Source organism: Homo sapiens, chromosome 19 (assembly GCF_000001405.40).
Source record: "Homo sapiens chromosome 19, GRCh38.p14 Primary Assembly".
Taxonomy (NCBI): Eukaryota; Metazoa; Chordata; class Mammalia; order Primates; family Hominidae; genus Homo; species Homo sapiens.
Genome location: NC_000019.10, coordinates 40190996 through 40215881, shown reverse-complemented (window position 1 = coordinate 40215881; position 24886 = coordinate 40190996). Strand labels below are relative to the sequence as shown.

General features: G+C 53.6%; 1 protein-coding gene across 5 annotated transcripts, besides 3 other annotated features; it reads right to left on the bottom strand.

The window, feature by feature from the left end:
• Positions 1 to 306: 306 nt before the first annotated feature.
• On the bottom strand, positions 307 to 24456 carry MAP3K10 (mitogen-activated protein kinase kinase kinase 10). 5 transcript variants are annotated; one of them, XM_011526981.3, is made up of 10 exons: positions 23169 to 24456; positions 17327 to 17507; positions 11225 to 11397; positions 10586 to 10761; positions 9725 to 9971; positions 6663 to 6779; positions 2906 to 3077; positions 2694 to 2806; positions 1661 to 2365; positions 307 to 912 (listed from the first exon to the last, which is right to left on the bottom strand). In XM_011526981.3, the coding sequence occupies exons 1-10, from the start codon at positions 23848 to 23850 to the stop codon at positions 590 to 592; spliced, it is 2889 nt and encodes a 962-aa protein (XP_011525283.1). In that variant the 5' UTR covers positions 23851 to 24456; the 3' UTR covers positions 307 to 589. The 5 variants fall into 5 exon arrangements, with proteins under 5 accessions (XP_011525283.1, NP_002437.2, XP_047294801.1 ...); NM_002446.4 differs by having other exon boundaries at positions 11249 to 11397; XM_011526982.4 differs by lacking the exon at positions 307 to 912 and adding an exon at positions 981 to 1232.
• Positions 9370 to 9890: an enhancer, noted in NCBI's record as "H3K4me1 hESC enhancer chr19:40711899-40712419 (GRCh37/hg19 assembly coordinates)". NCBI's record gives its function as "activates a minimal SCP1, AML or CMV promoter by ChIP-STARR-seq in primed H9 embryonic stem cells {active_cell/tissue: H9 hESC(primed)}" and the evidence as "EXISTENCE:reporter gene assay evidence [ECO:0000049][PMID:30033119]".
• Positions 23759 to 24058: a silencer, noted in NCBI's record as "silent region_10617". NCBI's record gives its function as "represses an Ori minimal core promoter by ATAC-STARR-seq in GM12878 lymphoblastoid cells {active_cell/tissue: GM12878}" and the evidence as "EXISTENCE:reporter gene assay evidence [ECO:0000049][PMID:35858748]".
• Positions 24329 to 24828: a silencer, noted in NCBI's record as "silent region_10616". NCBI's record gives its function as "represses an Ori minimal core promoter by ATAC-STARR-seq in GM12878 lymphoblastoid cells {active_cell/tissue: GM12878}" and the evidence as "EXISTENCE:reporter gene assay evidence [ECO:0000049][PMID:35858748]".

Here is a 24886-nt window from a genome sequence, read left to right as displayed (position 1 = left end):
TAATCCCAGCATTTTGGGAGGCCGAGATGGGTGGATCACTTGAGGTCAGGAGTTTGAGAGCAGCCTGGTCGACATGGTGAAACCCTGTCTCTACCAAAAATACAAAAATTATCTGGGTGTGGTGGCGGGAGCCTGTAGTCCCAGCTACTCATGAGGCTGAGGCAGAAGAATCACTTGAACCCAGGAGGCGGAGGTTGCAGTGAGCTGAGATGGTGCCACTGCACTCCAGCCTGGGCAACAGAGCAAGACTCTGTCTCCAAAAAAAAAAAAAAAAAAAAAAGGAAAAAGGAACACAATCAAGTGCGGTAGGGGGCAGGGGTTACCTTTAATGCTCCATTTTGTGCCAAATCCCCCATGATGCCCTGTCCCTGAGTATCCCTGCCCACCCTCCCCCCAGTGCAGGGTGGGCACAGGGCTCCACCCCCTGGGGTACAAAGGAATAAGTTAAGTGTCCCCCCCCTCCCTCCTTCCCCAATAAATAGAGTGAACATCCTGCCCAGGGCCTCCCCCACCTTGTGGCATGGCGGGCTGGGGCAGGGCCTGGGGCGCTACATTCATGGCTGCCCAGGCGGGCGGTGGTGGGCAGGCCTTAGTGGGAGCCGTGGGCCCCGCACAGGGGCACTGTGCTGTCTTGGTTCTGCCCCTCCATGTCCATGTCCAGCAGTGTGGGCTGCACGCTGGGGGGCCCAGGGCTCTCCGGAGTGTCTGGCCTGCTGGGAGGCGAGATGGTGAGTGTCCGGCCGAAGGAGACCAGTTTCCAGGGGTCCAAGCGGGGGCGACTGGCAGCCGGCCGAGGTCTCGGGGCAAAGGTCAGGGTGGTGGGGCGGCCTGGGAACTCAGGGGGCCGGCGGCGGGCTGGGAACAGGGCCTGGGGGTCGGGCAGGCGGGGGAAGTCCAGAAGGTCACGAGGGCCTGGTAAGAGAGGTTCAGAGGAGGTGAGTGGGGTGGGGCAGAGGGTGGCATTAAAAAGCCCAGAGCTGTTACATGAAAAGCACAAGTTCTGGTTTCTCTCGAGAAATCCGTGGATCTTGCTGCATCCAGTTTCCATCTGTAGTGTGGCAGTGCTGGGACCTTGACCTAGACTGGGACCACTCCCAGCTGCTTGCTCCTCTGGGTGGACCCTGGCATGTTCCTCAACCTTCTGGAACTGCTGCTTAGCGGCAGCCTCGGGGGCCAAAGCCCTGGTCTTCCCGACTCTCCTGCACTGGGCTAAGCTCAGGCATGGCTTAGCTCTGAAGGGGGATAAAAATGGTGCCTCACCACGCAGGTGAGGAGCAAATAGAATAACCATAACTTAAAACAAGCAGCACAGTGCCTGACGTGGGTACTTAATAACACTGCTATGGCCGCATCTCCCACCCAGTTAACAGATGGAGGAGAACAGTGTCTAGGCTGTGTAAGAATTGGCGATGGTCATGCTGGTCACAACCGCTATAGGCACCTGCCTGGCCTTATAGGCATCAGTTTGCCGCCTGTGTCTCAGTCCCCTGGAGACCCCCGATGCCTCCAGGAGTGAGCGGTAAAGGGACACAGACCCTCCCTCCTCCACAAGAAGCAGGAGGTGGCTGCCTGAGGGGTCGTGGCTGGGCTGGACTTGCGACCCTGGCAGAGGAGGAAAGAAGGGGTTTTCTGTGACCTGGGTGCAGGGCGCCTCACTCACCAGGGCCATGGCCCGCGGGCTCGGGCGGCCCCCGCTGCCCCAGCGCCCCGTCCGATGGCGTCCGCCGGTGCCCGCGGCTCACAGCGCATGCAGCCGTGACGTGGGTGGGCGTGAGCGACTGGCGGGGGTCCTTCTTGAAGCTCTCCAGCTCCAGGTCCACCAGGGGGTTGGTGCTGGGCGAGGGCGTGGGTGTGGGCGCGGGCGGGGAGGGTGGTGGGGAGGGCGCGGCCGGTGCGGCCTCGTCACTGTCAGAGCGCAGCAGTGAACGCGTGGAGTTGCAGTCGGACACGGACGACAGCGACACGAGGGTGGCCGAGGGCGCCAGGCCCAGGCCGGGGCCCACGTCTTCGCGGCGGCCGTGGGGACGCGCGGGTGGGCTGAGGCCCCGCGGGAAGCGGCCGGCGCGGGGAAAGAAGAGGCCGTCGAGCCAGCGCCGCTGCTCCTCACCGTCGGCCGCGCGCGCCTCGGCCACGTCGGCGCCCAGGCCCACAGCCCCCAGCAGCGTGGCGCAGCCTAGCAGCGCCAGGTCGCAGCGCCGCCGGGCGCCGTGTCCCCACCGAGCGGGGGGCGCGGACGGCGTCGGCTCCCACGGCGCCCGCGCCCCCGGGGAGGGCTCGGCAGGCAGTGGCACTGAGAGGTAGGACGGGGTCGAGTAGGGGGAAGGGGGCACGCTGCTGCCTCCATCCTCTGCCTCCGCGAACTCCTCTGCAACCGGAGAGGGCCATCACTCCGCTGCAGGGCTGGCCAGGGCCCCACGGGGACTTGTGCCAAGGGACAGCCCCCGATGACCCCTCCAACAGCAAGACCAAGACCCACGAGCATCGTTCTTGAATCTGTCTCCAGGAGAAGCCTCAGAGAAGGGTGGTCCCTGCCCCTGGAAATGACCCCCCACGCCCCAGGGGCCACCATCTCCCTTCCCAGGAAGGCCTTCCACTCACTGGCCCAGTGAAACCTGGTCTCTTCGCTCAGCCCCAGGAGGCTCACCCCTTTGGCCAGGGAACCCCCACCCCCTTACAAGAACCCAGGCTCTTACCCATCTCATTGAGGCTGGCAAAGCCAGGGGCGATGGGTGTGTGTTTGGGGGACTTGCCCAGGTTGGGGGCACTTGATGACCACTGTTTGCTTCCTTCCCCCAGCCCCTTCAGCCTGCGGGGTCCAGGGAGAGATGGAGACCTCAGTCCTGTGGCCTGGAGCCTGGGAGCTGGGGCTTGGGCACAGGGTGGGCATGACCACACCACACCTCACCTCTCCTCTCCTCCCACCCGCTCCTTCTGCAGGGTGGAGCTGGGCCCCCACGTTCGTCCCTTCTTCTTGCCCCCGACCAGTTCTTCCTTCTTTGGGGGCCCACCGCGGCTCCATGTCCCACTTCCTCCACTGCTGCTGCCACTGCTGCTGCCACCACAGTCCACGGGAGTCACTGGGTCCAGAGAAGCCACTTGGTTACTGGGTGGAGGATCTGTCCCCACTGGGCTCCCAGCCTCCAGTGCCCCCAGCTCAGGCCCACCCTCCGCCTGGGAGTCCAAGGGCTCTTTTGAACTCCAGTCATGACCCTCCCTGCTATATATCTCCCCATAGCCCCCTACTGCTGTCAGGACAAGGTTCCAGCTCCTCCGCCTGGCACTGAAGGCCATGAGCGGTTCCCTGCCAACTCCTCCAGCCTCCCCTCCTCTTCACAGCCTAACCCTTCACCATTCATTCTGGCGGGCTGCCTGCGCTTCTGGTCTCCAGCTCTGGGTAGTTAGTTCCCTGGGGGTCAGCTGCCTTCATCTCTGTACCTGCAATGCTCTGGACCTATCTGGTGCCAGTGTTTGCTGCCATGGTATGGGTATTTGTCTCTGTGTCCCCTGCAGGACTGACCTCCTGGGCCTGGTACAAAGCAGGTGCCCAGACAGAGGGCAGGGGGGCTGTGGGTGGGGACAGTGCTGGGGTGAATGAGGTGTTGGAACTTGGGAGCTAGCCTTTCACCCTTCAACCCACCAGGAAACTCCGATGACCGTGTCTCTGCCATATAGCCCCGACTGTGGACATCTGTCCCTTCCAAGTCCCCCACCCTGGCCTGGCCTCCATCATCTCACTGCTTTCTCCACCTTTATTTCTTACAGCAGCCAGAGGGAAAAAGGTCAATTTGATTCCCTCAGTGCCTTGCTCGCATGGCTCTGGGGGCTGCCCCAGGGCAGTTAAAAGAAAATCCATACCAGGCCAGGTGCGGTGGCTCTTGCCTGGAATCCCAGCACTTTGGGAGGCCCAGGCAGAAGAATCACTTGAGGTCAGGAGTTGGAGACCAGCCTGGCCAACATGGTGAAAACCCCATCTCTACTAAAAATACAAAAATTAGCCAGGCATGGTGGTGCAGGCCTGTAGTCCCAGCTACTTGGGAGGCTGAGGCAGGAGAATCGCTTGAACCTGGGAGGCAGAGGTTGCAGTGAGTTGAGATCGCACCATTGCACTCCAGCCTGGGAGACAGAGCGAGCGTCTGTCTCACCATGGAATACTATGCAGCCATAAAAAGGAACGAGATCATGTCCTTTGCAGGGACATGGATGGAGCTGGAAGCCATTATCCTCAGCAAAATAATGCAGGAACAGAAAGCCAAACACTGCATGTTCTCACTTATAAGTGAGAGCTGAGCAAATAGATCACATGGACACAGGGAGGGGAACAACGGACACTGGGGCCTGTTGGGGGGTAGGGTGGGGGAGGGAGAATATTAGGAAAAATAGCTAATGCATGGGCTTACTACCTAGGTGATGGGTTGACAGGTGCAGCAAATCACCATGGCACACGTTTACCTATGTAACAAACCTGCACATCCTGCACACGTACCCCAGAACTAAAAACAAAAATTAAAAACAAAAAAATCCATACCAAAGGTGTCAAATGAAAATTAAAAAAAAAAAAAAAAAAGAAAGGAAAATCCAGACTCTTATCCTGCTCTCAGGGCCCTGCCTGATCTGACCCCTGAGAACTCCCTGATCACAAAACCTATGTCCTCCTCCCATTCACTCTGCTCCAGCCAAACAGGTTAACAAGCAGCCCATGCTGTTCTCACCTCCAGCTTTTGCCTTTGCTGCTCCCTCCGCCAGGGGCATGCTTCCCTGAGGTCTCAGCCTGTCTCACTCAGCAGGAAGGTCCCTGCTCAAACCTCACCTCCTCCCATAGGGCTTCCAGATGGAAAATCGCAACCCTTCTGTGATGGGTAATTTTATGCGTCAACTTGACTGGGCCAAAGGACGCCTAGGTAGCTGGTTAAACATGATTTCTGTGAGGGTGTTGCTGGATGATTAGCATTTCAATCAGTGGACTGAGTAAAGAGAGATCATCCTCGCCAATGTGGGTGGGCACCATCCAATCCACTGAGGGCCCAGACAGAACAAAAAGAGAGTTAGCTCTTTTTGTCTAGGAAGGCAGAGGAAGGGTGAGTTTGCTCTCTGCATGAGCGTGGATATCCATCTTCTCCTGCCCTGAGACACTGGACATTGGTGTTCAGGTTCTCAGGTCTTTGGACAATTTTTTTTTTTTTTGAGACTGAGTCTCACTCTGTCGCCCAGGCTGGAGTGCAGTGGCACGATCTCGGCTCACTGCAACCTCCGCCTCTCAGGTTCAAGTGATTCTCCTGCCTCAGTCTCCCGAGTAGCTGGGATTACAGGCATGCGCCACCACGCCTAGCTAATTTTTGCATTTTTAGTAGAGACTGGGTTTCACCATGTTGGCCAGGCTGGTCTTGAACTCTTGACCTCAGGTGATCCACCTGCCTCGGTCTCCCAAAGTGTTGGGATTACAGGCGTGAGCCGCCGTGCTGGGCCAGGTCTTTGGACTTGATTTGGAACTACATCACCGGCTTTCCCGCACCTCTGGCTTGCAGAAGGCAGATTGCAGGACTTCCCAGCCTCCATAATCGTATGTGCCAATCCCTCATAATACATCTATTTCTTTTGTTTTTGTTTTTGTTTTTTTTGAGACGGAGTCTCGCTCTTTCGCCCAGGCCGGAGTGCAGTGACGCTATCTCGGCTCACTGCATGCTCCGCCTCCCGGGCTCATGCCATTTTCCTGCCTCAGCCTCCCGAGTAGCTGGGACTACAGGTGCCTGTCACAGCACCTGGCTGACTTTTTGTATTTTTAGTAGAGACGGGGTTTCACCGTATTAGCCAGGATGGTCTCGATCTCCTGACCTCGTGATCCGCCTGCCTCGGCCTCCCAAAGTGCTGGAATTACAGGCGTGAGCCACCGCGCCTGGCCTTTGTTTTTGTTTTTAAGTAGAGATGGGGTCTCGCTTTGTTGCCCAGGCTGGTGTCGAACTCCTAGGCTCAAGCAATCCTCCCACTTCATCCTCCCAAAGTGCTGGGATTACAGGTATGAGTCATCGTGCCCAGCCAATACATCTCTTTCTATATATCTAAACATATGCTGTTGATTCTGTTTCTCTGAAGAACTCCGATTAATACATCTCCTCTTTTATTCCCTTCCCTGAGCTCCTTTAAAGAACTTATCACTACTAGAAATTATCCTGCGCCCGGGCGCGGTGGCTCATGCTGTAATCCCAGCACTTTGTGAGGCTGAGGTGGGTGGATCACTTGAGGTCAGGAGTTCGATACCAGCCTGGCCAACATGGTGAAACCCCCATCTCTATTAAAAATACAAAAAATTAGGCAGGCGTGGTCATGTGTGACTGTAACCACAGCTACTCGGGAGGCTGAGGCAGGAGAATCGCTGGAACCCAGGAGGCGGAGGTTGCAGTGAGCTAAGATTGCACCACTGCACTCCAGCCTGGGAGATAGAGCGAGACTCTGTCTGTCTCCAAAAAAAAAGAAAAAAAAAAAAAAGAAATTATCCTGCTTACTGACTTATTTGTTTACTATCTGTTTCCTGTGATAAGAATGAGGAAAAGGGCCTTGTCTGTCTTCTTTCTTGCTGTTACTCTGGCTTGGTGCCAGGTATAAACATCGTGCTAAAAAATGTTTGTTCACTGACTGACTGACTGGTCAGGGCCTTGGGAGATACTCACGGCGAATGGCCCTCAGCCGGGGGATGATGCTGGGGCTTGCAGGGGGGCTGGCCCCATCGGATCCTTTCCGCTTATCCAGAGTTGGAGAGGCCTGGACTGTGATCTTATGCTCAAAGCCTGCAGAAAGAAAGAGAAGCTTTCCTAAGCAAATGGTTCCAGGGATTACCAAAGGGAATTTTCTTCTGTAGAAGTAGAGAAGGAATTCTAGAATGGGAACACCGCCATTTTTCATTCCTTAATGCAGTGGTTCTCAGAGTGTGGGCCCCAGAACAGCAGCATCACCATCAGCTGAAAATTTCTTGGCAATGCAAATTCTTGGGCCCTCCCTGAATCAGCAAGTTGGGGTGAGGCTCAGCAATGGACTGTGGTTTAATAAGTACAAGCACAAGAGCTCTTGTGGATCAAGGACCTAGGCCTCAGTGTCCAATATGGCCGCCAGTAGCTACGTGTAGCAGCTGAGCACCTTGAAATGTGGCTTGTGCAATGGGGGAATTGGAGTTTAACCTTTATTTATCTAATTTTTAAACTGTATATATATATATATATAAAGGATGAGTTCTCACTGTGGTGACCAGGCTGGTCTTGAACTCTTGGCCTCGAGCAATCCTCCAGCATCCGCCTCCCAAAGTGCTGGGATTACAGGTGTGAGCCACCATGCCCAGCCAACTCTTTATTTTATTGTAATTACCGCAATTTGAGTTTAAATTTTAAAAACAGGTATGGGGGCTGGGCGCGGTGGCTCATGTCTGTAATCCCAGCACTTTGGGAGGCCGAGGCAGGCGGATCACGAGGTCAGGAGATTGAGACCATCCTGGCTAACACGGTGAAACCCTGTCTCTACTAAAAATACAAAAAAAAAAAAAAAAAAAAAAAAGAAAGAAAGAGCCAGGCGTGGTGGCGGGTGCCTGTAGTCCCAGCTATTCAGGAGGCTGAGGCAGGAGAATGGCATGAACCTGGGAGGCAGAGCTTGCAGTGAGCCGAGATCATGCCACTGCACTCCAGCCTGGGTGACAGAGCGAGGCTCCATCTCAAAAAAAACAAAAACAAAAACAAAAAAACAAACAACAAAAAACAGGTACTCCATTTGGTTATTGGAAACATTTAAGCATGTTTGGAGCAACTTGGGTATGTATATGTACTTTTTCAACTCTAACTTTTATGAAATCTAAATACAGATCCAATATTTTTGATGGGTCAGGTACAGTAGCTCACACCTGTAATCCCAGCACTTTGGGAGGCCAAAGTGGGAGCGCTGCCTGAGCGCAGGAGTTCAAGACCACCCTGGGCAATATAGCAAGACCCCATCTCAGAAAAAAAAAAATTTTTAATGAAAATTTACTGTCCAAATTTAGATGTGCCATAAATATAAAATACATCTGGATTTCAAAGATTTAGTGTGAAAAAAGAAGGTAAAATATCTCACAATTATTTTGTATTGATTGCATGGATATATTGGGCTAAATTAAAAAATATATATATTTTTTGAGATGGAGTTTTGCTCTTGTCGCCCAGGCTGGAGTACAATGGCGCGATCTCGGCTCACTGCAACCTCTGCCTCCCAGGTTCAAGCGATTCTCCTGCCTCAGCCTCCTGAGTAGCTGGGATTACAGGCATGCGCCACCACGCCCGGCTAATTTTGTAGTTTTAGTAGAGATGGGGTTTCTCCATGTTGGTCAGGCTGGTCTCAAACTCCTGACCTCAGGTGATCTGCCCGTCTTAGCCCCAAAAAGTGCTGGGATTACAGACGTGAGCCACCCCACCTGGCCTAATAAAAAATATTAAAATTGACATCTCTTATTTCTTTTTGCTTTTATGTGTAGCTTACTAGAAAATTTAAAATTATACACGTGGCTTGTATTATATTTCCACTGGCCACTGCTGCTTAAGGCACTGCTTTCTGGCTTGTAACATCACAGAAAGAGACAAGTAGACACTACGTGCCTCCCTCCTGAATGCATTACCTGGGAAGCAGTGTGGGGAAAAAAAAAATCAAACCTGAATCTGAATCTGATTAAGTCTTGAGATCCAACTATTAGGTTGATCCATGTGAAACTTCTGTTTTTGTAGGTAAAAAAATGGTCAAATATCAGCATATATATGTATATCTTAATTATATATTTTGTGACAGAGTCTCACTCTGTCACCCAGGCTGGAGTGCAGTGGCACAATCTCGGCTCACTGCAACCTCTGCTTTCCGGGTTCAAGCGATGCTTGTGCCTCAGCCTCCCAAGTAACTGAGATTACAGGCGTGTGCACCACCACACCCAGCTAATTTTGTAGTTTTAGTAGAGGCGGGATTTCACCATGTTCTAGAGCCAGGCTGCTCTAGAACTCCTAGCCTCAAGTGATCTACGCACTTTGGCCTCCCAAAATGCTGGGATTACAGGCGTGAGCCACTGCACCTGGCCAGATTAAAAGATATTTTTAAAGAGAGATAACATGAAAAAGAAAGTTCAGAAGTGACTGTCCTAAGTGTCAAGACAGATGTTCCTCTCAGGGGATGGTGTGAGGTTGTCTGGAGGGGCAGGTAGAAAGCACTTGGGATGGCTGTGAGGTTCTCTCTGCTTTCATGGGGGTGACTAGAGTAACTCATTTGGCTGTACAGGTTTTTGGTCATTTTCTTTTTTTCTTCTTCTTCCCTTTAGAGATAGGGTCTTGCTCTGCTGCCCAGACTGGAGTGCAGTGGTGCAATTACAGCTCACTGCAGCCTCGAACTCCTGGACTCAAGTGATCCTCCCACCTCAGCCTCCCCACTAGCTTGGACTATAAGTGCATGCCAACGTGGCCAGCTAATTAAAAAAAATTTTTTTTTTTTTTGGTAAATATGGGGTCTATGTTGCCCAGGCTGGTCTCAAACTTCTGGCCTCAAGTGATCCTCCCACCTTGGCCTCCTGAGTAGGCTGGGACTACAAGTGCTCGCCACTGCACTGGGCTGATCACTGACTATGTGCGATATATTTAGCAATAAAAACAAGTTGAAAAAGAAAAGGAAGAGATAAATCCTAGGTCGGGGCTGCTCCCAGCAGCCTCTTGGGGGGCGCTCTGGGGACACGGGTGGGTACCAGAGGGCAGGCTGATGTGGCTGCCGCCTTCCCGCAGCTTGAGCAGGCGGCTGCGCTTGAAGTTGCCCTTGCGCTTGCGGACCCGGGGCTTCTCCTGGCTCAGCTGGCACATGAGCAGGTGCAGCTCCCGTTCCACGATGTCCATCTCACGTTCTGCCAGCTCCTGCTCCCGCCGCCGCAGCTGCTCCTCCTGGAAGCGCTGCTCCTGTGCCGCCCGCAGCAGCTCCTCCTCACGGCTCCGAAGCTCCTGGGAAGGAGAGGCGGTGGCTGGGGGGAGGGGCTTAGCTGCTCTGCTTCCTGGGGAGGGACCCAGGGCTGCTGCGTCTGGTTGGTGCCTCACACAAGGGTACCTTGCTGTGGGGTACACTGGTTTCACCACCCGACTCATGCTTTGCTAGCCAAGCTGGGTGCCAGGGCAGGGAACTGTGTTAGCTCAAAGAAAGGGGTGCTTTTTCTTTCTTTTTCTTTCTTAACTCTTCAATTTAGAAAACTTCAAACATCCACAAAAGCAGAGAACAGTGCACCCCCCTGTACCCATCATCCAATTTCAACAATTACCTATGCTTTGCGAATCTTGTATCCCCGTCCTTCTCTCCTCTTGCCCTCTCTTCGTTTCTGCTGTAGTATTTTAAAGCCAACCCCAGACATCATGCAGTGTCACCTGTAAGTACTTCAGTACAGGGTGCCTTTTTCTTATTAATCCACCAACAGGAGGCTGTCTTTTCTTAATATGCAAAAAAGGCTCCCTTGACCCTGCATGGACCCAAAGGCTGGGGTTCAGGGGAGGAGTCTCTGAGCAGCCCAAGGCATCAGAACTCAGGGGTCTTGCTCCATCTTTCCCACCTTGCCCCCTGCCTTCACCTTCTCCTTGGTCCGAAGGTCATCAAACATGTGCTGAATCTCCAGCTTCCAGTCTTCCTGCAGCGAGTGGAAGGACTCCAGTGGCATCTGGAACAGGGCTGACTGTTCGATGACTTCAAGCCGCTTCAAGATGCTACCGAAATCTGGCCGCCCGTGGGGGTCTGGGTCCCAGCATTCTGGGGTGGGAGGAGGAAGGACAGTGGTGGGGCATGGAGGTGTCAGTGGTCATGCTCTGGGGACTCAGCCTGCTCAGAGGAAGGCAGAATTTCTGGGGATGGCAGACAAACAGCTGCTATGGAGCTGAGGGGAAGGGATTCAAAGCCAAGCTCCTGGCCAATTCCACTCAGTGAAACGCTGGGAGAGAAACCCTGGGACCTGCACCCCGAGGAGGGGCTGGTAGTGGAATCAGGATCAAGGTGGAATCCCAGGGCCAAGGAATCCTAACAGGTTGTCCTGAGAGCTCTGGGCCTGGCCCAAACAAGGGCTGGGATGTGGGGGATGGAGCCAACCATGGGGAGGCTGTTTAGAGTCCAGTGGGTTCCAGCCCCTTCTTCCTCACTCCTGGGCCCACTGGTATGGATAGGTGTGAAGGGGAAAGGTCTGGGCCCACAGGTCCCTGCCACTCCAAGCTGAGCCTACCCTCGTCACGGGGCCCCGGCTCACCCTCCAGGAGGCGGGCAAAGGGCTCGGGGCACGTGGAGGGAATGGGCAGCGTCAGCTTATTCATAGCCACGCCATACGCCACGGCCAAGGCGTCGATCTCACGGTAGGGGACCTCCCCCGTCAGCAGCTCCCACAGCAGCACCCCGAAGCTGCAGGCAGGGGAGAGGGAGGGGTGATGTCGCAGCCCACCCCAATCCTCACCTATACCCAGCCCTGCCCTTGGTCCCATGCAGGGCTGCCCTCACCCCAACAGCCACCCCCGGCCAATGAGGTCACAAGAACTTGCTTTGACCTCCATGGCCTTGTTCTCCAATAGATGGGGTGGGTTTGGCTCTCTGATGTCTCTCCTTTGCTCGGCCTGTCTTCCCTCTCCCCTGCCTGAAAATCTTCAGGTCCCGTGTTCCTACTGGCCAAATCCATCTTTCTTATTTTTATTTTTGTAGAGATGGAGGTCTCACTATGTTGCCCAGGCTGGTCTCAAACTCCTGGGCTCAAGTGATCCTCCTGCCTGGGCTTCCCAAAGTGCTGGGATTACAGGCATGAGCCACTGCATCCCACCTAAATCCATCCTTCTTGGCCCTGGCCTTTGATGACCCCTGCAGCCTCACTTCCAAACACTCTCAGCCCATTCTAACCCCAACTTCATCTTGCAGCCACACTGAATACTGAGCAGGCCCTGTGCTTTCTAACCTCTGGCCTTCACACATGCTGTTCCCTTTGTGGAGAACACTCTTCCCTTGTGTAACTATTTGTCCCTCAAGTCTCAACACAGGTTGCCCCCTCTGTCAGGAAGCCTTCCTTGATTCCACAGCCTCCAAAGCTAGGTTAGAGGCCCCTCCTCTACGTTTCCCCAAAACACTCAGCACTTACCTCTAAAAACCAGTTAACATTATTTAACATTTATAAAGCACTTACTGCAGGCCAGGCACTGTGCTAGGCACTCGGTAATCCTCACAACAGCCCTGTAAGGCAGAAGGATTTGGTATGACCCCTGCTTTAGCTGATGAGCAGGTACACGCTCAGAGAGGTAAGGGGCTTGCCCAAGGTCACACAGCTAGTGAGTGGTGGAGCCACACTTGGACTCAGGTCTGCCTGCTGCCCACGACAGTGCTCTCAGTGGCTCCATGGTACCAGAGCGTGCGTCACTGTGCTGTGGTCCCTGCAAGGCTATCTTCCTCTGCAAACTCTACATCCTCCCAGATCCTGATGGCCATTCTGTGTGGTGTTTATCCTGGAGTAGATCCCTGGTCTCCCCACTATCCACTCATGCATTCATTCAACATATCCTTTTTTTTTTTTGAGACAAAGTCTCTGTCACCCAGGCTGGAGTGCAGTGGCATGATCTCGGCTCCCTGCAACCTCCGCCTCTTGGGTTCAAGTGATTCTTGTGCCTCAGCCTCCCAAGTAGCTGGGATTACAGATGTGCACCACCATCCCAGCTAATTTGTGTATTTTTAGTAGAGATGGGGTTTCACCATGTTGGCCAGGCTGGTCTCCAACTCCTGACCTCAGGTTCCGCCTGCCTCAGCCTCCCAAAGTGCTGGGATTACAGGCATGAGCCACTGCGCCCGGCCCATTCAACGTATACTTATTAAGTGCCTACTGTGTGCCAAGCACCATTTTAGACATTGGGAAGAGATAGACACAATCACTGCCCCCATATGCAGCTGACAGCCTCCCATTCTTCAGTGACAGTGCTGGTGAATTGAGCTGGCCACATGCTGCCTGCATGAATTTTCCATTCTCCTTTGCAGCTAAGCATGCCACATGACCACAGTTCTGGTACATGGGATGTAGGAGGGGGTGTAGTAGGCAACTAGCTTCCAGGAAGTATCCTCAAAAAGAAGGGGTGCCCGGCCGGGAAAGAGTGTGAGGTGGGATGATGGCTTGAGCCCAAGAGTTCAAGGCTGCAGTGAGCTATGACTATACCACCACATTCTAGCCTGCGTGGGAGAGTGAGAGCCTGTCTTTTAAAAATTTTTTTAAATGAAAAATAAATTTATAGTGGGTTAATTTTATATTATTTATATCTTAAATAAGATGAAATCTGTCCCCAAACACCCTATCCTGTAAAGACTATTGTTCAAAGAAGGAACAGAATGGACCCCAAAATAAGAGGTGAAAATCCCCACATACACTCTAGTCATGCCAAGGGCAGCCTGACAGGCAAGGCTTCTTGCTTCCTGTCTCAACTTATCCCTGTCCTGCGAAGCCGCGGCAGGACACATCTGCAGCTCAGCACAGCAGACAGGCACAGGAGCGCAGGAACAAAAACAACATGGGTAAGAAAATGAGGCCGGGCGCGGTGGCTCACGCCTGTAATCCCAGCACTTTGGGAGGCCGAGGCGGGCGGATCACAAGGTCAGGAGATTGAGACCATCCTGGCTAGCACGGTGAAACCCCGTCTCTACTAAAAATACAAAAAATTAGTCAGGCGTGGTGGCGGGCGCCTGTAGTCCCAGCTACTCGGGAGGCTGAGGCAGGAGAATGGCGTGAACCCAGGAGGCGGAGCTTGCAGTGAGCTGAGATCGTGCCACTGAACTCCAGCCTGGAAGACAGAGTGAGACTACGTCTCAAAAAATAAAAAGAAGGGGTGCCATTTTCCTTTTTTCCCCTTCTTGTGGTTGGAATGTAGACATAAAACCTGGAGCCTGGGGGGTGGGGGACAAGGGGAGGGAGAGCATTAGGCAAATACCTGACACACGCGGGGCTTCAAACCTAGATGATGGGTTGATGGGTGCAGCAAACTACCATGGCACATGTATACCTATGTAACAAACCCTGCACGTTCTGCACATGTATCCCAGAACTTAAAATTAAAAAAAAAAAAAAAAAAAAAGCTGGCGTGTGGAGCTAGGCACAGTGGCTCACGCCTGTAATGTCAGCACTTTGGGAGGCCAAGACAAGAGGACCTCTTGAGCCCAAGAGATCGAGACCAGCGTAGGAAACAAAGTGAGACCTCGTCTCTACAAAAAATTAGCCTGGTGTGGTGGCATGCCTGTAGTCCCAGCTACTAGAGAGGCTGAGGTGGGAGGATCACTTGAGCCCAGGAGGTTGAGGCTGCAATGATTTGTGACGGCATCACTGCACTCCAGCCTGGGTGACAGAGCAAGACCCTGTTAAAAAAAAAAAAAAAAAAAAGGCTGGGTGCGGTGGCTGACGCCTGTAATCCCAGCACTTTAGGAGGCCCAGGTGGGCAGATCATGAGGTCAAGAGATCAAGGCTGTCCTGGCCAATATGGTGAAACCCCGTCTCTACTGAAAAATTAAAAAAAATAAATAAATAATACAAAAATTAGCTGGGCCTGGTGGCATGTGCCTGTAGTCCCAGCTACTTGGGAGGCTGAGGCAGGATAATTGCTTGAACCCAGGAGGCAGAGGTTTCAGTGAGCCAAGATCGCGCCGCTGTACTCCGGCCTGGGCGACAGAGCAAGACTCCAGCTCAAAAAAAAAAAAAAAACAAAAAACGCTGGAGCTCAAGCAGTCATTTTGGATCATGAAGTAAACTTCAGAATGGAGACCATACAAGGTGGGGGAGAAACAGTGGTTTATAACTGGAGGGTAGCATGATCCACCCCTCTCTCCCATGTCCTTGGAAACCTATGGGGTTACTGTGATTGTAATAATGACTGAGAATGTTACTGAAGTTTATGGCGGGGAGGTGTGGATATCCTGCATCCTGCTAAGTACAGGACAGGACCACATCAGAAAGAATTAGCCTGCCCGGCCGGGTGCAGTGACTCATGCCTGTAATCCCAGCACTCTAGGAGGCTGAGGCGGGCGGATCACCTGAGGTCAGGACTTCAAGACCAGCCTAGCCAACATGGTGAAACCCTGTCTCCACTAAAAATATAAAAATTAGCCAGTGCATGCCTATAATCTCAGCTACTCGGGAGGCTGAGGCACAAGAATCACTTGAATCTGGGAGGAGGAGGGTGCAGTGAGCTGAGATTGTGCCATTGCACTCCAGCCTGGGCGGCAGAGTGAGACTCTGTCCCAAAAAAAAAAAAAAAAAAAAAAAAGGTAGCACAAATGAACGCCTGATGTACAGCCAGTTGGAAATTCTCCCAAAGGGCTGCTCTGCTCTAGGCTGAGCTGGAGACTTCCTGTCTGATCTGTCTCAGTCCCATACCCATTAATTTGCTGCTTGGACAATCTGGAGCCTCAGCTGGGAATTGACGGGAACAGTAAATGGGGAGACCCAGGTTTGGCTCCAACCAAGCAGAAGGTCCTGGGTTGAAAGTCTCCATGGCCACCATCAACTCTCACTGGTGACAGCAACAGACCCATCATTGGCTGTCTCTACCTAACAGTCAAAGGAGCTTTTATTTTTAAGTATTTTTTTTCAGATGGAGTCTTGCTCTGTCACCCAGGCTGGAGTGCAACGGCGCCATCTCAACCTCTGCCTCCTGCAGTCAAGCAATTCCCCTGCCTCAGCCTCCTGAGTAGCTAGGACTACAGGCACCCACCACCATGCCTGGCTAATTTTTGTATTTTTAGTAGAGATGGGGTTTCACCATGTTGGCCAGGCTAGTCCTGAATGAACTCCTGGCCTCAAGTGAACCACCCACCTCGGCCTCCCAAAGTGCCAGGATTACAGGCGTGAGCCACCGCGCCTGGCCGAATTTTTGTATTTTTAGTAGAGGTGGGATTTCACCATGTTGGCCAGGCTGGTCTCAAACTCCTGGTGTCAAGGGATTCACCCACCTGGGCCTCCCAAAGTGCTGGGATTACAGGCGTGAGCCACCGCACCCGGCCTCCAAAGGAGTTTTTATTTACTTCCTTTTATAAAAATTAATTTAAAAATTTCTTTTTCATATACATGGGGTCTCACTACATTGACCAGGCTGGTCTCAAATTCCTGGCCTCAAGTGATCCTCCCACCTTGGCCTCCCAAAGTACTGGGATTATAGGTGTGAGCTACCACTCTATTCAGACATGGCTCCTCATGGCTTCCTACTTCATTAGAATAAAACCTGAAGGCCACTCCCTCACCCACAGGGCCTTCCAGCTCCCTCTCCTACATAATTTCCTACCTCTCTCTTCCTTGCCTGCACAGTGGCAGCCACATGGGCCTCTTTGCTGTTTCTGGGACACACCATGCTCACCTCAGCACCTCCTTCTTCCTCCAAACTTTTCGTGACTGGTTCCTTTTTGCCACTTGGAACTCAGATGAAGTATCATTTCTCAGATTGCTCAGAGAAGCGTTCCCAAAAGTAGTCTTCCAGCCCTTAAAGTGCCTTCCTCTCAGCCTCCTCGCACTTTGTACTAACACTTTTTTCTGGTGTACTTGTCTTTAAAAATTATAATTTTCTTAAAAAACAGCTTTATAAAAAAGAGCTTCTTGTATGTTGACTGACTTACTATTCCTGAGGGCAGGGATTGCATGTATTTTTCTTCTCTGCTATATCCCTAGAACCCGGTGCAGTTAGATGAAGGAATGAATGAGTGAATTAATCATTTTCCTGTCTGACAGATGGGACAGTGCATGGGCTAGTGTCTGAGGGGGCTTTCAGTGCTAGCATCCATGTGCTGTCTCTATGCTTTTTTAAATTTTTTCTTTTTTTGGAGACAGAGTCTCGCTCTGTCACCCAGGCTGGAGTGCAGTGGCCAATCCCAGCCCACTGCAATCTCTGCCTCCCGGCCTCAAGTGATTCTCCTGCCTCAGTCTCCCGAGTAGCTGGGACAACAGGCATCTGCCACCACGCCCAGGTAATTTTAGTATTTTTAGTAGAGATGGGGTTTCACCATGTTGGTCAGGCTGGTCTCAAACTCCTGACCTCAAGTGATCCGCCCACCTCGGCCTCCCAAAGTGCTGGGATTACAGGTGTGCGCCCCCGCGCCCGGCCTTGTCTCTAGATCCTATGAGCTTTTTATTCTAATCCAGTGTGCCCCCTAGTTGCCATTTGTGCTAGCTGAACAGGTAACTGGCACTTGTCTGGTGGCCTGACCTTGCCAGCAGGTCCCTTTGTCAGACTGAGATCCTGGCTTCAGCAGGAGACCCTCCCTCCCACTCTGCCCTCACCCCTTCCTCCCTCCCTTACTCCCCAGAGGCCATCCCGGCCGCGCCTTTCAGCACCTCCAGACATCACTGCTTTTGGAGAAGAGGGAGAGACGGATAACCTCCGGCGCCATCCAGGCGTAGGTCCCCGCAGCGCTCATCTTGGTGGTCTTGTGCCACTCGCGGGCGAGGCCGAAGTCCGTGATCTTGAGCACCGTGTCTGCGAGGTTGTGGTTCTCGATGGCCTCCAGGATCAGGACTGTGGGGTGGGAAGAAAGGTGGGTCACCCCAGACCTGCCACGCCGCAGACCCAAGTGTTCTGGCCCGCTGCCTCAGCTAGAAACACGTCTTTCCTCTCACTGCCTCAGGCTGCCCCGCTCTGTGGCAGGTCCTTTCCTGGCCTGGAACATCCATGAGCCCCTCCGCCCAGGTCTAATCCCTGTCCCAGGCTCCCATGAGGGAGTAGGGAGCTCCTCCTGTGTCCTCTGCCCTCCTGATTCTGTCCTGGGCTTTGGGGAGCTCCATGAATGGTCAAGAACCAACAGCCAAGGCTGAAGCGGGTCACTTGAGCCCAGGAGTTCGAGACCAGCCTGTGCAACATGGCAAGACCTCATCTCTACAAAAACTTTTTAAAAATACCTGGGTGTGGTGGTGCATGCCTACAGTCCCAGCCACTTGGGAGGCTAAGTTGGGAGGATCACTTGAGGCTGGGAGGTTGAGGCTGCAGTGAGCCATGGTCTTGCCATTGCACTCCAGCCTGGGCAATAGAGTGAGACCTCGTCTCAAAAAAAAGAAACAACAGCCAAGGCCTTAGTCCTCCAGGCCTTGAGTTCCCAGCTACCCTGGAAGCAGGAAGTGCAAACCTGGGGCAGAAGGGAGGAACGTGGCTTCCCCCTCGTGTCTATCACCCCCGTGGCACACTGCAGTCAGGGTCCCAATTCTACCCCTTCCTGTGTCCACACTCTGCCATGAGACTTTGCCATTCTTTCTGCTAAAGAGGCAGAGTATGGCCAGGCACGGTGGCTCACACCTGTAATCCCAGCACTTTGGGAGGCTAAGGCAGGCGGATCACTTGAGGTCAGGAGTTCGAGACCAGCCTGGCCAACATGGTGAAACCTCATCTCTACTAAAAATACAAAAATTAGCCGAGCATCATGGTGCTCACCTGTAATCCCAGCTACTTGGAAGGCTGAGGCATGAGAATCACTTGAACCTGGGAGGTGGAGGTGGCAGTGAGCTGAGATTGCGCCATTGAACTCCAGCCTGGGTGACAGAGCGAGACTCTGTCTCCGAGAAAACAAAAACAAAAACAAAAACAAAGGCAGAGTGCACCCTGACTCTGGCTCAGCCGTATGACTTGCTTTGGCTAAGAATGACAGGGTGCCAATTCCAAGCCCAGGCCTTGCATGTCTGCTGGCCCTCTTGCACTTGTGTCATCACCATGACAACATGCCTCAGCTAGCCTGCTTGTCCAAGAAGATGAGAGCTACTTGGAGCAAAGCCTCTCCAGCTGAGCCCAGCCTCCATCAGTTTACCCTCCAGCTGGTCCGCAAATGCAGGAGCAGTAATACACAATGGCTGTTTTAAGATGCCGAGTTTTGGGGGTAGCTTATTACACAGCATGATCGTGACAAAATCTGACTGAAGTATTCCCTAAACATACTGGATGGTTCTAGCTTACTTTCTACCCGGGTTGTCACTAACAGCCATGAGGATCATGGCTAGTGTTTGTACTGTGCTAAGCTCTCTATAGGAATTGACTCATGAATGACCCCCACCCCGAGCCCTTTTTTATTTTTTTAAAGAGACAGGGTTGGCCAGGAGCAGTGGCTCATGCCTGTAATCCCAGCACTTTGGGAGGCCAAGGTAGGTGGATCACTTGAGGTCAGGAGACCGAGACCAGCCTGGCCAACATAGTGAAACCCTGTCTCTACTAAAAATACAAAAATTAGCTGGGTGTGGTGGCGGGTGCCTGGAGTCCCAGCTATTTGAGAGGCTTTGGTGAGAGGATCACTTGAACCCAGGAGGCAGAGGTTGCAGTGAGCCGAGATCGTGCCACTGCACTTCAACCTGGATGACAGAGCGAGACTCCATCTCAATGAAATAAATAAATAAATAAAGAGACAGGGTCTTTTTCTGTCACTCAGACTGGAGTGCAGTGGTGTGATTATGGCTTGCTGTAGCTTCAAACTTCTGGGCTTAAACAATCCTCCAGCCTTGGACTCCCAAATTGCTGGGACTACAAGAGTAAACCACTGCACCCAGCCACAACCCATTTTTCTTGACTAGCTAACAGAGGCTCAGAAGTCACTTGGCCAAGAGGTCACATGGTTAGAAAATGGCAGGACAAAGGCTTGAATTAGTTTTGTCATCAGAGCTCAATCTCTTAACTGCTGAGATATTTTACTACCTTCTATCACATAGAGGCTCCAAAGTATACAGTGTGCTGCCTGGGTTTGAGTCTCAGCCCTGCTTCTTCCTAGGTGCATAACCCTGTACAGTTTACTTTAATCTTCACACCGAGACTTCTCCTCTATGAAATGGGGCTCGTAACAGAATTTACCTTCTAGCGTTATAGTAAAAATTTATTGCCTGAAGCAATAGGGCCTTTAAAAGTGTTAGCTGTTATTATTAGTGTGTGATATTGCCATAATTGTTCCGAATTTCTCCACTTTTCTTTTTGCCATTCCTGGCTACTTCCCAGTCATAATAATAATAGTAAGGTAGTTCTACTATCATGCCCATTTGGCAGATGAAGGAACTGAAGGTGGCAGAGATTGGCAAATCACCCAGGGTCACACAATTGATAATCCTGCCCATCCTTTAAAGCCCAGCTTCAGATTGGACGCGGTGGCTCATGCCTGTAATCCTAGCACTTTGGGAGGCTAAGGCAGGCGGATCACCTGAGGTCAGGAGTTCAAGACCAGCCTGGCCAACATGGCAAGACCACCGTCTCTACTAGAAATACAAAAATTAGCCAGGCTTGGTGGCGCACGCCTGTAGCCCTGCCTACTTGGAAAGTTGAGGTGGAAGGATCACTTGAACCCGGGAGGCGGAAGGTTCAGTGAGCTGTGATCACACTACTGCACTCCAGCCTGGGTCACAGAGTGAGATGACTCTGTCTCAAAAAAAAAAAAAAAAAAAAAAAAAAAAAAAAAAAAAGGCCGGGCGGGCTTCAGTGTTACCTCCTCCTGGAAGCCCCCACTGTAAATTCCTAGTCTGTAACTCCACCTCTGCAGAAGTTTTCCCTTCTTAGGTCCCCACCTCTCCTGTTTGTATCGAAACCCTGTGACAGAGGGAACATCTCATGGTTTTATGCTTTATTTCTGTATTTCCCAGGCTGGGCCTAAGTCAGTCCCCCTTCAAAATCTTTATGTAATCATGTCACTCCCTGCTTCAAATCCTCTAATGGCTTCCACTACATCAAATAAAATACCCCAAGTCCTCACCATGGCCCCCAAGGTCCTATGTGATCTGGCTCCTGCCAGCCTTTCTGATCCTACTTCCTCCCATCTCTGCCTCAATGCCTGCTGTTCTGGTCTTGCTGTTCTCCAGTGAGACACACTCACTCCCACCTCAGGGCATGTGCCCCACTGTTCCCCTTCCCCAGATCTTTGTAAAGCTGGGTCCCCTTTGTTCAGGTCTCTGCTCAAATGTTGCCTTCCCTGACCACCCGATCTAAATAAAGAGAACCCTCTGCTCCAGCCTTTGCCTTAGTCCACTGAGAGCCCCTGATACTCTCTGAAATTTTGGTATCCATCTATCCATCATTTATTCCTGTTCACCGGAATATAAATTCCATAGCTGGGGGAGGGAGAAATCTTGCCTTGTTCACTTCTGTAATCCCAGAGCTGAGGCAGTGCCTAGTAAGAGTAGGCACTTAAGAATTACTGGTGGAATGAACCAATGAATGAATGATGGCAGATGAGGCGCTCCTTAGGGTAGGATGAGTGGGGAAGCAGTGCTGTGGAGGCGCTGTGTCCTCTGTTTCTGGCACAGAGCAGACCCATCACCCCGGGAGGAAGCCCTGGCCATAAGAGGCCCACTGACCCTTTGACCAGATAGCACTGGCTACAAAAAACCTGGGGGTGTGGGGCGTGCTGTCAATCAGCAGAGGTGAGGAAGGGCTGAGGAGTCCCAGCCTTCAACAGGAGCATGCTGGGTGGCCCTGCCTCCATTTACCCAACATTTCAGAGGTGCTGGGGCATAAGCATCAGTTCCCCAGACACAGCACCAGCTCTGGCACATCGTGGTCACATGTTAGCTTTTTTTTTTTGCGATGGAATCTTGCTCTGTCACCCAGGCTGGAGTGCAGTGGTGCAATCTCGGCTCACTGCAACCTCCACCTCCTGGTTTCAAGCGATTCTTCTGCCTCAGCCTGAGTAGCTGGGATTACAGATGCATGCCACCATGCCCAGCTAATTTTTGTATTTTTAGTAGAGAAGGGGTTTCACCATATTGGTCAGGCTGGTCTCGAACTCCTGACCTCGGGTGATGCACCCACGTCGGCCTCCCAAAGTGCTGGGATTACAGGCGTGAGCCACCGCGCCCAGCCAAGCTCTCTGTTGATATACAAATGTCAGGCTTGGGAGGCAAGGAAGATGCAGTCCCTCTATTCTAGGGGCTTACAATTGCTATGGGTGGGGAATAGCAATATATTCCTAAAAATAGTGGGATGGATTAAAATAAATTTCAAGATGTAGAAGTGACAGAAATCAGGAATAGATGAGATGTGGGTGTTGAGAGCAAAGGGGGCACCTTCACATTTTGGGGCTTAACTGTGAGTGACGTGAGGGCCGGGGACATGCTGGCCTTCTCCACTGCTGATGCCTTTGCTTAGCACATGATCTGGCCTGGTAAATACCAAATGGAAGAATGAACAAATGAATGAAGAAATGAAAGGGAGTGAGATGGGGCACAGCACGAATGGGAGAGCCAGGAATGTAAGATTTTTTTTTTCTTGCTGTATCCCTGGGACAGGGTCTGGCACACAGCACTCTGGAAATATCTGTGGAATGAATGAATGAAATTGCTAGCCTGTGAGTACTGTCAGGGCAGAAACCATGGCTGTCTTACTCCCAGCTGGGCTCCTGCTTAATAGGTGCTCAATTAATACTTGTTGACACCACATGAAGCTCTTCCATCTAGAAATGAGTCTTGCAGAATGTTCCCTTCTACCTGGCTCCATTATTTATTCAACCAACCAATCAACTTTGGAGAACCTATCAGGCAGCCTGGAAGCTTTTATATAAGCCACATCAATTTAATTCCTCCCTCATCTTTTCCAGTTTGCCTTGGCCAGCTCGGCCTATGAAGACTCCAGGAAATGGTTCTCAACTGGGGGTGATTCTGCCCCCCAGGGGACATTTGCAATGCCTGGAGACACTTTTGGTTGTCATAGCTGGGGAGAGGGGGCAGGGAATGCTAATGACATCTAGTGGGAAGAGGCTAAAGATGCCGCTAAGCAACTCACAATTTACAGGACAGCCCCTACAACAATGATCTGGCCTCAAGTGCCAATAGTGCTGGGGTTGAGAGACACTGACTCCAGACGGGGTAGGCTCTTTTTGTCTCTGCCTGGTGGACTCTGGCAGCATGGCTGGATGGCAAGCACCTTGAAGGCAGGCACTGCATCTGTCCTGTTCATGCAGGGAACGCAGGTGTTCATGGATACATGTTTACTGAGCGATTGTGACTCTGCAGCCTGGGAGGCAGGTAAGTCCTTCAACCTTTCTGAGCCTCCTTTTTCTCCCTTAAGGCAGGCAAGGCCTACCTCACCTTCACCCTGAAGGTATCATACTGCTGCCCCTTCTCACTCCAGGCACAGTGTCATCTGGTGTCCCTCACCCTGTTTCCCACCACCTAGGCCTGGCCTTGAGAGGTTCTGTGGAAGGAATTTTGGGGAGAGGACACCACTTACTGTTGATGGACTTGAGGTCCCGGTGGATGATGGGCACAGGGGCATCATTGTGTAGGTAGTTCATGCCCCGGGCCACCTGCACAGCCCAGTTGACCAGCACGTGAGGTGGCACCCGGCGACCTGCCAGCACCCTGCTCAGTGCACCACCCCGGGCATACTCCATCACTAGGCAGAGGTGTGGGGGGTTGAGGCAGGCGCCCCTAAGGGCAATTATGTTGGGGTGCTGCAGGGCTCCAAAGAGCCGGGCTTCCTGGCACACCTGCTCCGCTGTCACTGCCGGGTCCTTCTCAGGGTCCAGCCGGGCGGCCTTGACTGCCACCTCCTCGCCACGCCACAGGGCCCGATAGACCTTGCCAAAGCCCCCCACACCGATGATCTCCTCTAGCTGCAGCTCGTGGAAGGGGATCTCCTGGGGCAGCTGGAGGCCCGCGGGTGCAGCGGGGGCGCCGGGGGCCACGTAGTTGCTGGGGAAGACGCCCACGCGGCCGCTGGGGAGCTGCCCGGTCCACCAGCCCTCGTCGCCGGACACCGCACAGTCTTGGGAAAGCACCTGGACGCGATCGCCCCTCCGCAGGGTCAGCTCCTCGTCGCCCGCCGCCTCGTAGTCGAACACCGCGGTCCAGACGGGCCCCGCGGGGGTCGTGCCCCACTCCTTGGCCACCGCCCCCTCCTCCTCCTCCATGGGGGAGGGGCCGGGGGCTGCGGGAGGCCGCTTCACACAGGCTGCCCGCGGGATGCAGAGGGCGGGCCCCGGCGGCCGGGATGGAGGGCAGTCCCTGCGGGGTCTAGGGAGCTCCTGAGGGCCATGGCTGGGGCGCCCTCCGCAGGAGCAAGAAAAAAAACCCTTTCAAAGGGCAGGCTCGTCCCTTCCGATTTGGCTGTACGGGCGGGGCGGGGCGGGGTGGGAGTGGGGCGGCAGGTTCACCCGTGCCCCCCAAACGGCAGAGGGCTAAGAGGGCCTGGCCGCGCGGCTCTCGAATGCCCGCCGGGGTCCGCCGGTGGGGGACGAGGGCGAGGGCGGCAGGCAGTCCCCGTTCCCCGCGCCGCTCACCCCGCGCAGCTCCACCGGCGGCCCCCGGCTCCGCATCCCGGGCCACGACTGCCGGGCCGGGCGGGGGTGGCGGGGCCCCTGGGGCGGCCGCCCCGGGCCGGGGTGGCGCGCCCCTCGGCCTCCTCACGCGCGGGGCAGCCGGGCGGCCCCCATCCTTGGCACCGGCCTCCCGGTCGGCCCCAGCCCCTGCCCCCCGCCCGTGCTGCTTCCCCGGGCCACCGGCGGGGCCCGAGTGACGTGTGGGCGCCGCCGCCGCGGTGCCTCCTGGGAGTTGTAGTCTCCGGCCGTGCGGCCTCGGGGCCCGGCTCTCAGCGCCCTCCAGCAGAGCCCCGCGGCCAGCCTCGGGCCGCAATGGACATGACACCCCACGAAGCCGAAGGAGTCCTCCCGGGGAGATGAGCCCGGCCTCGGCCCCTCCTTCGGACGCGGCGTAGCGGGCGCCCGGGGCGGGGGGAAGCGCTCCTCACAGACCCTGTGGGGGCCGCGGCCCAGGATGGGTTGGACTGCAACGGACGCGATTAGCAACGCGAAAAATAGGAGCTGCGTGCATGACTGTGACTGCCCGGAGCCGCGAACGCAGCCTGGACCTTATCCCTGAGGCAGGACGGCCCCTCGGACCCCCCGACCGAGATGTACGCTGGGAACTGTAGTCCGCGCGGGGACCTGG

Bases quoted from the DNA above. Each gene is read 5' to 3' on its own strand.
- MAP3K10 (XM_011526981.3), bottom strand. From the start codon at position 23,850: ATGGAGGAGGAGGAGGGGGCGGTGGCCAAGGAGTGGGGCACGACCCCC. The intron at 17,508-23,168 runs GTAAGTGGTGTC...CCCACCCCACAG, and splicing joins GGACCTCAAGTCCATCAACA to TCCTGATCCTGGAGGCCATC. The intron at 6,780-9,724 runs GTACCCACCCGT...TTCTTTCTGCAG, and splicing joins CCACATCAGCCTGCCCTCTG to GCTTTGAGCATAAGATCACA.